The sequence below is a fragment of the Homo sapiens genome, chromosome X (genome assembly GCF_000001405.40).
Source record: "Homo sapiens chromosome X, GRCh38.p14 Primary Assembly".
NCBI classification, from domain to species: domain Eukaryota; kingdom Metazoa; phylum Chordata; class Mammalia; order Primates; family Hominidae; genus Homo; species Homo sapiens.
The window spans coordinates 93,573,630-93,588,004 of NC_000023.11; the positions used below are offsets into that span (position 1 = coordinate 93,573,630).

Here is a 14,375-nt window from a genome sequence, read left to right on the forward strand (position 1 = left end):
TAAAGAGAATGAAGCCTCAGAAAGGTTTCAGTGCTGTGGTAGTCTGATAAATAGTCCCATACTTCCCCCACCCCACCCCCACCACATATATCTGCTCCTAATCCCTGGAATTTGTAAATGTTACTTTACAGAGTACTTGTAGATGGGATTCGGATTTTAAAAATCTTGCTCTTTTCCAGCTGGAACCATGGAGGGTGTTGACCCATGGAGGGTGTTGAAAAGAGGAAGAAAAGGTTTCTTCTGTGCCAGAAACCCTTAACAATAAGTAAAAGGAATTTTACATAGTTGAAGATCAAGCGCCAGAGAAAAAAAGCCCAAAAGATGCTTTGAAAGGCAAGGAGAACAAAGGAAAGCATGCTTTGTCTATGAAAAAGTGAATTACTATCACAATGACTATAGGCAGATGTACAGAAATGAAATATGAATGGCTAGGATGACAAGAAAAGCTGGAAACTTCCCTGAACCTGCTGAATCCAAACTGGCATTTGTCGTCAGGATTAGAGTTATTAATGGTGTGAGCCCAAAGTTCCAAAAGGTGTTGCAGCTTCTCTGCCTATGTCACATATTCAATGGAACTTTTGTTAAGCTCAGCAAGTCTTCAGTTAACATGCTGAGGATTGTAGAACCATAGGGTTACCCAAACCTGAAATCAGTAAATAAACTAATCTACAAGCATAGTTATGGCAAAATCAATAAGAAGCAAATTGCTGTGACAGATAACACTTTGATTGCTCAGTGGCTCAGTAAATAGGGCATCATCTGCAGGAAGGATTTGACTCATGGCATCTATAATTTTGGAAAATGCTTCAAAGAAGCAAATAACTTCCTGTGGCCCTTCAAATTATCCTCTCCAGATGTGGGAAAAAAAAAAAAAGACACATTTTGTAGATGGTGGAGATGCTGGCAACAGGGCACACCAGAACAACAGGTTTGTTAGAAAGATAAACTAAAGTGTCTGCCATGATTATCTTTGTAACCTGGTCAGTTAATAAACAGTTATTACTTTCAAACTGAAAAAAAATATTTCGAAGATCTTGAGAAGGAGAGATTATCTTGTATTATCCAGGTGGGCTCTAAGTTCAATCACAAATAGAACAGAAGACAATGTGACCACAGGGGCACAGATTTAAGTGGTTCAGCCACAAGCTGATGAATACTGGTAGTCACCAGAAATTGGAAGTCAAAAAAGCAGGTTCTCCCCTAGAGCTTCCATAAAGAAAAGCAGCTCTGCCAACATATGAATTTTAGCCCAGTGATATTAATTTCAAACCTCCAAACTCCAGAATTGTGAGATAATAATTTTTTTTTTTTTTTTTGCTTTAAGCCATGAAATTCATTACAGTAGCCATAGGAAATGAATACAAGGGCCTCTTCCCAAATGCACACAGTTAGCAAATGATGAAGCTGGTTTCTCAACCAGGCTTTCTGTCTCCAGAGCCTATGTGCCTAATTACTATGCTATACTCCTTCTTATGATATCTAAAGTCATAATACACTAAGTGGTAAACAACTTGGCTACATAGAAAAGCTAGGGTCCATGTGATATTTTACTTAATCTCAGGATCCCTGTGATACTCACATTATTTAATAAGTAGGTACCACTTTAAAGTGCAAAGAAAATACATTGCCAAGAGGAAAAGCTTTTTAAGAAATTGCCAGAAAGAGATTTCAATTTTTACCCACTCCCAGTGCTTTCCGATTTTCATATTGTATTACTGTATGTCTACTAATTAGTAACAAGAGAGCAGTTTTTTTTTTCTTGTGCCTGTAGGTATGTGAAGCACATTAAGTCAAAATCTCAACTTTCTTCCTACTAGAAACCAGTACTTGGAATTTTATATGTATAAACATCATATTTGCTCCCAGAAAATAATGCAGGTAAAGATTAAGTTTTTTCATTTAAAAATTGTTCAATAGGTCATCTTTTAATTAAATACAAAACATTTCATTGAATATAAATATTGTTGGCTGACTCTCATGAGTTTATATAAGAAATTAGCAAATTCCTCCAAAATTTATTTGAAACTGTTGTGTTTAAAATACTTAATCTGGCTGGGAGTGGTGGCTTACACCTGTAATCCTGGTGCTTTGGGAAACTGAGTTAAGAGGGTTGTTTGAGGCCAGGAGTTCAAGACAAGCCTGAGCAACATTGTGAGACCCTGTCTCTATAAAAAGTAAAAACTAGCCAGACATGGTGGCAGGCACCTGTAATCCCACCAACTCAGCAGTCTGAGGCAGGAGGATTGCTGGAACCCAGGAGTTTGAGTTTGCAGTGAGCCATGATTTCACCACTCAACTCCACTGGGTGAGAGAGTGAGATCCTGTCTCTTATAAAATATATATTACATTAAATTATATTCTGCATTACAAATATTATAATATAATTATATATTATAAATACTATATTGTTAATATATTGATATATATACTTAAAAATACTTATATCTTGTTACTTTAATCATTACCACTTCATAATTACATAGTATTTTCTAAATTTTACAGACATTTTACATGCTCGTATGGTTTCAATATTTGTCCTGTCCAAAATTTATGCTGAAATGTAATTGCCATTGTAACAGTATTAAGAGTTGGGATCTTTAAGAGATGATTAGACCATGAGGTCAAATCCTATCCTCATATGTGTAGGATTAATGCTTTTAGAAAAGTGTGAACTTGGCCCCTTTTTTTTCTCTATGCTTGTCTACCTTACTCTGTGTGAGGACACAGTGTTCCTCTTCTCTGAAGGACACAGCAAGAAGGCCCTCAGAAGATGCTGGCACCCTGATCTTGGACTTCCTTGCTTCCAGAACTGTGAGAAAATAAAACTGTGTTCTTTTAAGTTATCCACTCTCAGCTATTCTGTTATAGTAGCAAAAATTGACTGAGACACATATCTTATTTGATCCTCACAACAACCTTTTAGGTAGGCAGTGAAGACAAATACATTTATTTTAGCCTATTTTTCACATATACCTATCTAGATTTTATGGGTAATGTAAGACTAATAAAATTTAAGTTATGTGTCCAGGTCATACGGTTATTATGATACAAAATTGGGACTATAACTCAGGTCTTCTGAATCCTAAAACAGTTCTGTTTTCATTACTATGAAAACAACTGCCTTAAGATAATAAAACACTGATTAGCCAGATCAGAGGAATTGTAATTCTTAGTAATCACATTTTAATTTTGTTCTACAGTGCTATAGGAGGAAGAGGAATACTGATAACTAGAAAATAAAGATATAAAACACAATAAAATATTCTCTAGTAGACGATGAGATCTAAAAGTTACATCTTCAGACCAAGTCTCTTAAAATATCTTTATTTACAAGTAAAAGAAAGTCATTTTTATAAATGATTTATTTTAAGAATAATGGCCGAAGGTCCTGAAAGATTCTCAATCACCAAAGAATGAATTACCTTCCCCAGACTACCATTACTGAGGCAGCAAAATGGACTAACACAACTAAAACATGTTTAAAATATTTTCAGCAGAGGAATGAAACATAATTGTTTCATTTTAAATACTCAGGCAAAAACTATGTAAACCAGAATGCTCATTTTCTAACATTTTGTTACATTGAAATTTTACTATACTACTTTTCACGTAGTATCCCAAATTTATCAAAATCTTAATGGCAGACAATTGAGAATGACTACTAATTTCTTTAAAGATGCTATGTCCAAATACAGTCACATTCAAAAGTACTGGGGACTAGGATTTCAACATATGATTTTGTAGAGAGACACAACCCATAACAGCCTTCCAAACTTTTAAACAAAACTAAGTAATAAGTTTCAAATGAATTTGAATATACTGGGCTCATTATGAACTGAGGTCTAAGGTATTTGCCTTATAGTTGTAAATTAGCAGTGCTAATTATAATTTTTTAAAGTTTATGTTTCAAATAATACTGCACTGAACCCTGGGCCCCTGTCCATCCTTGAGGTTTTGAAATAGCCCATCTTACTGATGGCAGTGGTGGACCATCTAGAGTGGCCACTGACATCATGCTGGGTGCAGTGGGGAGACTTGAACAGTGGTAGCAGGAGTGGCTGTGGGAGCAGCAAAGGCAGTGGTGAAACTCCTGTGCCACATGTCTCCTGTGCCCTGAGGAACCCAACTGCATGACCCCCATTCTTGTGTTGCTGGGTGGGACCCACTCCCAGGCCCAGAGCCTCCACCACTCCAGACCCTGTCCCCGTGTTGCCACTCTCGCCCACTGCTGCTGCAGATAGGGCATGGAGAGGAGGTAGACAGTCTCTGGAGCCCACCCTTAGGAACCTCCTGGAGTCCCCCACCCTGGGGGCCACCATAATGGGGCCAGGCTGAATCACCTGATAGCTGGGGAGCAGTGCGGTCGGGAAGAGAGAGACCCCAAAATGGAGCTGATCCAGGGGCAGGGACGCGTTTGCACATGGAGCATGGGGGCCAGGCCTGGGGTGTGGAGCTGGGGCCATGTTTCAGGGGCCCAGGGTGGGAACTGGGAGCAGTGCCCACTTTGGGGACCTGGTCAGTGGCACAGCCACAACATTCACCCCACTGAGGGCGCTGGGTTCCTGTGCTTCATGAGGCGGCTCTGCATGGGGCTGCCCAGGGCCGCATCCCCAGGGACTGCCCTGCATCAGGGTGACCACCGATCCTGACACTCCTGACTGCTGGGACCGGGACCTGCAATTCGCTTCTAGAGGCACTCCCTGGGCAGAACCATGAGCCAGATGAGGGGAAGCCCCAAGCTACTCCTGAATGCTGGGGACGTGGTAGGAGCTCATGGTGACATTACCCCTGCCCCGGATGCCAGCCTGGGCCCACTAATGACCTGGAGCCCCTGTCCCAGGCTGTGAAGGGGCATGATCAGGGCTGCATGCTCCAAAGAACCAGCAGGAGCTAGGGACAAGTGAGAGCCCCCCATTCCAAGTTGGTGGGGCAGGAGCTCCCTGAGTGCAGCTGCAGCCACCCTGCCATGGCTGTGGATCCAAGCATCTCTGTACTCTGGGAAACCTGGGAAGGCCCCTCTGCCCCCCAACAGGATTGAGGATGCCTGCTTCCACTGCCTGGCTGTTCCCTGCTGTCAACATCTGCTCCAGTCTTGGAACAAGTTCGGGGCTGAGCCAGAGTGCTGTGTCGCAGCCTCGCTGGGTGTGCACATGCTTGAGGAAGCGCTGACATGCCAACCCCCTGCCACCTCGGTCCCCTCCAGACATTGAGTGTCAACAGGCATAGGAGGGAGGCTGAGGGGGTGCTGAGGACTGCCCAGTGCTGGCCTGCAGGTGCCCCTTGGCATGAACAGCCTGGGCACATTGAATAGCGGCATGAAGCAGACAGGCTTTGGGGCAGAAGGGGGTGGGTCCCTTCTGAAGCCCCACCTTAAAGCCAAAGAGGACCTAAAGCCTGGGTGCCAGGCCACCAGTCCCATGGACCAGAGGGGGAAATTGTGGTGCTTTTCCCTGGGCCCTCCCATGGCTGCCCATGGGAGGCTTCAGACTCAGCCACACTTGAAGAGAAGATGGAAAGACAATGGGGAGATAGCGGAATGACCTGCCTGCAGAAAGGAGCTTTCCACTCCAGGGAGTTGAACACTCAATGAGATGACCTGTCTGCAGAGAGGAGCTTCCTACTCTAGGGTCTCCTCTCTGCTAGGAGTTGAACACTCATCGGGACACTCTGGCTGTAGAAAGGGGATATCTACTGCAGGTCTCCTCTGAGCTGTTCTACCGCTCAATAAAGCCCCTTTTCCTCTTGCTCACCTTCCACTTGTCTGCATACCTCATTCTTCCTGGTCACAGGACAAGAACTCAGGACCCACTGAATGATGAGGCTAAAAGAGCAGTAACACAAACAGGGCTGACACATGCCCTTGCTCACCACATTGCAAGAGAAGAGAAGAGAAAAGTTGTGGCCCTTTGGGGAGCCCAGACCTGGGAGCTCCCCAAGCCAGGGCTGTGACTCCCTCTTTGGGTCCCTGCAGTTGCCGGTGTCTCCAAGTTTCTGGGCACCAACGCATTCCCTGGTGCCAGCCTAGGAAGCTGCGTGTGGTGCACCTGGTTCAGCCACAGCCTCGCAGACAGCCAACACTCATGTCAGCACCTGGAGTTGCCCACTCTGCAACAGTAGCCGGAGTGTCTGACTGGACAGTGGCTGGACCCCATAATTGCTCACACACTCCTCGCTGCTCCACACCTGATTTGCAGTCTCCCTTGAAAATGTGGGATCCAGGCTGGTAGCATGAGATGAGTGCAGCCTGCCAGATCAAGTGGGCAGAATGAGCCCAGTGGGCACAAGCAAAACTTGGGCAAAGGTGCCACCAGCCACGGAGGTTTCTGGCCAGAAAAGTAACACCCCAAAGACCCCGTAACATTACCCTGTACCCCATAACCTTTTTTCTTGTGTTTCAATGGTAATCTGTTAGCCTGGGACAACCCTCCATCTCTGTCCTATGGATCTCTTGTGTCTTCTGCCTTGGGCTAGCCTATATCCTTGTTTCCATGACCTTATAGTGACTCTCACTCAAAGCAATTTAGTAATAAAATGATTATCTCTTTTCTTAAAACTCTGCTTTTCAGCTAATTACTGCAAGGGGGTGGACTTCTCTCCCCCTCCTTTAGAATATTACTTTGAAGGTCTTGATGCATCTGGAGAAGGGTGTGGAGGTAATTAGAGAAATGGAGGCTATAGGAGGAAGTGGAAGGAAACAAGATGAATACTCATAGAAAGCCTTCATATGCTCATGAAAATAGCGGCCCTGGGATGCAAAAGGGCAATGTTTATTCACCCTCTGGGCAGAATATAGTAACCTCTGGAAGGCTTGGACCTGGCATAAGAACTTGCAAATAAAGGAAAAATTCCCCCTGCTCCCAAAGTGGTGCTTACTCAGAAAAACCAAAAGAAAGTAGATGGGATCCTTAAAGGTTCAGAGTGAAGCCCTATGCAGGTGAACAAACTGCTTTTAAAGGCCACCAAAAACTTGGCCCCAGGGCATAACAGAAATAAAAAGCGTACGGTAAATTATAAGGAGCTGGCAGAGCTAGAGTTCCAATTAGTGTCTGTCCAGGCCATACGCCAGCAGACAGAAGAACAGTTGGAGGCCCTCTGAGCTGGTAAAAACAAGTAAAAATCTCAGGGGATATCTATAAGGGAGCCCACGTCTTTGCTGCCGCAGAAACGCAGAGAGTCATAGGGAGTGTGTGTTTAAGAAGTCATGTGGCATGCAAAGTGAAAGCAAAGAGGTGCACTTGCCCCTGAGGCAGATGGTCTGGCAGGTGCACAAGGCTATTTCAGAACACACATAGAGAAAACGGGAGAATGGGCCATTGGGCCATGCAGGGTTTTGGAAAAGAGCTAATTTTAGTCAAAAAACAGAGGAAACCCCAAGACACTGCATGGTTTTAGACCTTAGCCTCACCACTCTTTTGAGCCTCCCTTCCAGAAGGGTCATCAGTGCCTCAGATCTACTTGGTATGGACCCTAAGGTCCTTCCCACCTCCACAAGCAACCCATCATGGTGAGCTGAGAAATTAGCTGCGGGGAACAGAGTTACTTATGACCAAGAGGAATTGTTCTGGGGGATGGGTAGTAAGCAGGAGAGAGAAAAAGGGGAGAAGAAAACAACACACGGGGGTCAAATGCCTCCAGCTGACGAAGGTGAAGCATAGAGATCTCTCACCACTAGGGAGCAATCCAAGCCAAACAGCATCAAATATGTTAAGGGTAGAAGGTATCCAAGTCACATGGTATCAATATGTTAGTGGTGGAGAATATCCACATGACCAATGGCAAATTTGTACCGGTCTGTAGCAATCTCAGTTCTTGCCTCCTCAGAAGAAAGAATTCAACTGAGGGGGCATAAGGCAGAAAAAGAGATGAAGGCAAATTTCAGAACAGTAGCAGAAGCTTATTAAAAACTTCAGAGCAAGCAAGAAAGGAAAGTACATTTGGAAGAGACCCAAGTGGTTGACTTGGAGGACAATCGTGGTGTTTGACCTTTTGACTTGGGATTTTATATGTTGGCATACTTCCGGGGTCTCATGTCTCTTTTTCTATGGTTCTTCCCTTAGGGTGGGCAACCTGCATGTGTGGAAGCCTGGACAAAAGACCCTGAAAGTATGCCAACATATAAAACCTCAAGTCAAAAGGTCAAACACTACACTTACCCTTCAAGTTGCTCACGTGGGGCGTGTGTTTAAGAAGTTGTATGCCTGCCCACCTGAGGCTTTCTTTTCTTTTCCGGTAGAATGGCCCCAGAAGGTCATACTCTGCCATTTTGTCTTTTAGTGTGCATGCTTGAGCTTACTCGCCCAACTCCTGAAAGGTGCCAATTACCAGTTACAGATGTTTCCTGTCTATAGGGAGGCTGCCTTCCCCTGGTGCTGGTTGCGACCAATTATTATTTTAGAGAGTCAGTTAAAAACCACCTGACCATCACCAGATGGTCACCTGACTTTCCTGGTGGGGGTGTAAGGAGGGCCCTCTCCTGCCCTGCTCATGCCTAACTAACTACCTACTGTAACATTTCCACTTAATTCCAAAGGTGTATTTGAGAAAACATCAGATACTCTGACTACAGAACCCATGCTCTTAACTACTGCTTAATAATTAGAAGTTAGAATTGATATTCTCTTAATGTTAAGGCCCCTAACCAAAATCTGTGTTTGAGTGAATGATTTAACCTACCTCTGCAACTGGGTTGAGAAAAAGGTACTTGTGAATTGGAGTAGAGTTTTGAGTTTTTTGTTTGTTTTACTTTTAGTTTTGTTTTTTTAATTTATAAATATTACCAAGATAAAAGGGCAATTAAGACCCAAGAGGTTTATATCGTAGTGAGAATGCAATACTTTTGACTTGTACATTTTATCAAAACAGGTATTTTTAGTCATTTAAGAGAGTTATAGAAAACTCTCTAAGTCATCATGCTTTAAACACAATTTCAAGCAATAATTACTCCTCAATGCTAGTTTCCTATGACTGCAGTAAAAAATGAACATAAACTTAGTACCTTAAAATAGCACAAATTTCTTATCACATAGTTCCAGAGGTCAGAAACCAGGCCTGGGTTAAAGTCAAGGTGTTAACAGGGCTGCGTCACTTTCTGCAGTCTCAAAGAAATAATCTACTTTCTTGCCTTTTCCTGCTGCTAGGGTCCACCTGTAGTCCTTGGCTCATGCTCTCTTCCACCATCTCCAAAGCTAGCAATTGCATTCTGATCTATATTTCCATCACAGTATCTCCTTCTTTGACTCTTCTGCCTCCCTCTTTTATCTTTCAAGACTCCTTGTAATTGGATTTAAGGCCCACCTAGATAATATAGAATAATCTCCCCACATCAAGATCCTTAACCTAATCACATATGCAAAATCTCTTTTGACAAGTAAGGTAACTATTCACAAATTCTCAGGATTAGGATGTTGATATCTTTGGAGGACTGCTATTCTGCCTTCTATATAATCTGACAATTAACAGCTACACAAAACAATATAAATCAAGAGGGGAGTTATTGGATTCAATTAATCTTGAGAGACTAATGATTTTAAGAAGCAAAACAAGATATTTACCAACTCTAGATTTTGTTCTCTGAACAAAAGGAAAGTTAAATTCTAGTAAATTTCCTGAGCAGACTCTAACTTAGTCTGATTTTTAATAAAAACAAGACTCAATTATCAGCTATATGGCATTCTCAGTACATTAACCAACCTTCCCAGTGAGAACAAGAGAAAGTGATAGATAATTTCTTTAAAAAATATATTTTATTTATTAAAGGAGCAAGAAGGAATTAAGAAATATTTAAGTCAAATTCTAAAACTCTTAATTAAAATTATCAAATAATTCTTATATTTAAAGCACCAATAAATATGAACACCATGTGAAAAAATTGCAAAATTACATAGAATAAAATAATTTATGAGCAAAAGCCAGTAGAATAAATAAAATAGACAAATAAGATGGCATTGAGTACCCTTGGGAGGTAATTGTCTCCCCCACTGGCAGCATCAGTGAGGGCCGAGTGAAAGTCTTTACTAATACTCCCCAACAAGCCATGTCAGATGACCTAAAATTCCACTTCCATGTTGGTACATTATAACAAAAGACCAAGTAGTGAGTCTAGACTTGCACCATTTCCAAGTTCTATCAAAAGGTGCCCATCTCCCTCCCAAATAGAGGGTAAAGGAAGGATATCAAAGAGAAGGAAGTTGGAGACAGGGAATCTTTATATCTGCATAGGAAGTACTGAAAAGACCCTGCAATGACTCACACCTTAATGTGACTAGTATCAACACACAGAAAGGTTTGAGAACTAAACTACAGTGTAGAAAATCACACTGTTTCAGAATGCCTCACAAGTGCTACACAAAGTAAACCAAAATAGCACTGCAAGGGCTGTGGATAGTAAATTGTTATTGGAAACACAGCTCAAAAGAGGAGGCCAGACTTGCACACTAAAATAAGATGAATTCCTAGTAAAACAGAAGATTTAAATAGAATCTGAAGTCTCATATGCCTAGGATATAATAGAAAATTACTCATCATACCCCAAAAAACGGAAAATTACAACCTGAAAAAACAACAGAGGTCAAAATGCAAATTATTTAGATATTGCAATGATCTGGCAAATATTATGAAGCAGAATTTATAAAAATGCTCCAATGATCAATTATAAATATTGTTGGAACTAATGGAAAAAATATATAATCTTGGCAAAGGAGCAAAAGAAATAAAATAGAGCCAAATATAATATAATTTACAGAATTAAAAAGTACATTAACTGAGATAAAAATTCACTACATTAGCTCAACAGTAGATTAAAAAGAAAAGAGAAAAGAATCAAGAAACTTGAAGAAAGAATAATAGAATTTATCCATTATGAACAAGAGATAAAAAGTAGACTGGAAAAAAATGAAATTAGCCTTAGAGTCCTGTGGTGCAATAGCAAAAGATCTAACATCAAAGTTCCAGAATAAGAGGTAGAGACAATACCAGTAGACCATACTAAGTTATAGAGGTATATTGTCACACTTAGAACAACTACTAAGATAAACAAAGTAATATATAGAAAGGTACTGTAAGTAAATCAAGATAGAATTTTAAAAGTATTCAATTAAGAAAAGAGAAATATCAGAAGGAGGAACAGAAGAAATATATTGAGAATTTGTGACTTGTTACCTTAGTTGGCAAGAGTCTTTGCATATGTGATTAGGTTAAGGATCTTGATGTGGAGAGATTATTCTAGATTATCTAGATGGGCCTTAAATTAAATTACAAGAAATATTATAAAACACAATAAAACGGTAAGGGGTAAAATCTCAGGCCTGGTAGAATGAGAAACTTGGTTAACTTGCTCTCCCTCTAAAACACTGTAAACACGGTCATGCATCAGTCAATGACAGGGATACATCATAGAGTGTACTTACAGGAACCTAGGTGGTATATCCTACTACACACCTAGGGTATATTGTATAGCCAATTGCTCCTAGGCTACAAAACCTGTATACATGTTACCGTCCTGAATACCGCAGGCAATTGTAAAACAAGAGTAAGTATTTGTGTATCTAAATATATCTATACTCAGAAAAGTTGCAGTAAAAATGTGGCATGAAAAATTAAAAAATGTAACACCTGTATGGTGCACATACCATCAATGGAGTTTGCAGGACTGAAAGTTGCTTGGGGTGTGTATTAGTCAGGGCTCTCTTAGAGGGACAGAACTAATAGGATAGGATAGATAGATATGATATGATATATATGTCATATATATCTATATATGATGTGATATATAGAGAGATATATTATATATATGATATGATATATAGCTATATCTGTAATATATGATATATCATATATATGGGAATTTATTAAGTATTAACTTGCAGGGTCACAAGATCCCACAATAGGCTGTATGCAAGCTGAGGAGCAAGGAGAGCCAGTCCGAGTCCCAAAACTGAAGAACATGGAGTTCGAGGACAGAAAGCATCCAGCATGGGTGAAAGATGTAGGCTGGGAGGCTAGGCCAGTCTCCCCTTTTCTCATTTTTCTGCCTGCTTTATATTCTATGGCAGTTGATTAGATTCTGCCTGCCAGATTAAGGGTGGATCTGTCTTCCCCAGCCCACTGACTCAAATGTTAATCTCTTTTGGCAACACCCACACAGACACACCCAGGATTAATACTTTGTATCTCTCAATCCAATCAAGTTGACACTCATTATTAATCATCACAGGGTGAGTCAGTGAATTACTCATGAGTTAATGTGAAGGCCCAGGATATTACTGTATACTACTGTGGACTGTAAAAACACTGTACACTTAGGCTACATTAAATTTATTTTAAAAATATTTTTCTTTCTTCAATGATCAATTAAATTTAACTTTCTCTAATGTTTTTACTTTATAAACTTTTAAATTTGTTAACCTTTGTTTTTAAATAACACTTAAAACATAAACACATTGCACGGCTGCACAAAAATATTTTCTTTTTTGTATCCTTATTCTGTAAGCTTTCATCTATTTTTATTTATTTGTTTGTTTGTTTATTTTAAGAGACAGGGTTTCACTATATTGCCTAGGCTGGCCTCAAACTCCTGGGCTCAAGATACCTTCCAGCCTCAGCCTCCCAAATAGCTGGGACTACAGGTGCATGCCACCATACTTAGCTTTCAATTTTAAATTTATTTATTTACTTACTTTTAAAACTTTTTGTGTAAAAACTAAGCCACAAACACACACATGAGGCTAGGCCTACACAAGGTCAGGTTCATCAGTGTCATTGTCTTCCAACTCTACATCTTGTCCCCCTGGAAGGTCTTCAGGGGGCAATAACATGCATAGAGCTGTCATCTCCTATGATAACAATGCCTTCTTCTGAAATACCTTGTGAAGGACATGCCTGAGCGTTCTTCTTCAGGATATATCACTATTGTCAGAAATATGCCCATGGTTAGTTGTTTGGTTTATTTCATTGTTACATCACAGATGTGCTTAATGCACCATAAGCATTCCTCTCTATTAATGAAAACCTTTTGTTGTTGGGGGTCCGTATAACCTTTTAAAAAATCTTGCTGAGGTCTTCAAAGGCTTCTGCTAAACCCTTCACTCCAATTTTCTTGGGGGTTCTTCATCATTTTTGTATTATTGCTTTCAATGAAGCAGATCCTCTAATAGCTTCCATCAGTTTCTTCTTGTTCTTCAAGATCATAGATCATGGTGGAATGGGATATGTGTGACTGGCAATAACTATCACTGAGTTTTCATCTTTGGAGTTTTTAATCACTTCTATTTGTTTATTTATTTTTGAGATGGAGTTTCGCTCTTGTCACCCAGGCTGGAGTTCAATGGAGCGAACTTGGCTCACTGCAACTTCCGCCTCCTGGGTTCAAGCAATTCTCCTGCCTCAGCCTCCTGAGTAGCTAGGATTACCGGTGTGCGTCACCGTGCCTGGTTAATTTTGTATTTTTAGTAAAGATGGGGTTTCACCATGTTGACCAGGCTGGTCTTGAACTCCTGACCTCAGTTGATCTGCCCACCTTGGCCTCCCGAAGTGCTGGGATTACAGGCGCGAGCCACTGTGCCCGGCCCTTAATCACTTTTAATTTTGCTTCCAGGTCAAGCTGTCAACCGTGGCTCTTACTGGCAACATTAGCAGTGGATTTTCGACACTTAAGGGCCATGATGAACAAAATAACAAGAGATGTAAATCAAGCACAATAGAAAATGATGCAATTAAGAGACTCAGTAAACGTAAGATGTAAGAAGTTGCTGCCTGCATAGTATACTTTTTTAATAAGTAAAAGAAGTACACTCTAAAATTACAGTAAAAGTATATTAAATACATAAACCAGTAACTAATTGTTTTTATTATTATCAAGTATTATGTACTGCACATAATAGTATGTGCTATCATTTTAATATGACTGGCTGCACAGTAGGTTTGTTTACACTAGCATCACCACAAACACCTGAGTAATGCATTGCACTATGATATTAGGATGGCTACAATGTCACTGAGCAATAGGGATTTTTGAGCTTCATTATAATGTTATGTGACCACTGTTGTATATGTGATCTGTTGTTGACCAAAACATCATTATGCAGTACAAGACTGTACAACTAAAGCAACCTAATAAACAACTATTTTATTGCAAAACCAATGAAAATAAACCATTTCCACAGAACAACCCAAAAAATTGTCTATAAAAGAGAAACTATTGAACCGCAATAAGACAACAGAGGCCGTAACATTTTTACTTGAGGTTATTTCCACCCTCCCCCTCCAGTTCGGTGGTGCAGGAGTCAAAACTGAATGGTATTTCCAACAATGGAGAGCTCTAACTACTTTTGGAGTTCTGTTAGTGCACAATCCCCAGAGAACAGTCAATAATTTATCTG

The 14,375-nt window shown here is 40.6% G+C and overlaps 1 pseudogene, besides 1 other annotated feature; it reads left to right on the top strand.

Moving 5' to 3' along the window:
* RPL7P55 (ribosomal protein L7 pseudogene 55) lies at positions 203–1,025 on the top strand (annotated as a pseudogene).
* Positions 11,486–12,685: an enhancer, noted in NCBI's record as "BRD4-independent group 4 enhancer chrX:92840114-92841313 (GRCh37/hg19 assembly coordinates)". NCBI's record gives its function as "activates an origin of replication core promoter dependent on BRD2, P300/CBP, MED14 and CDK7 cofactors, and independent of BRD4, by STARR-seq in HCT116 cells {active_cell/tissue: HCT116}" and the evidence as "EXISTENCE:reporter gene assay evidence [ECO:0000049][PMID:35650434]".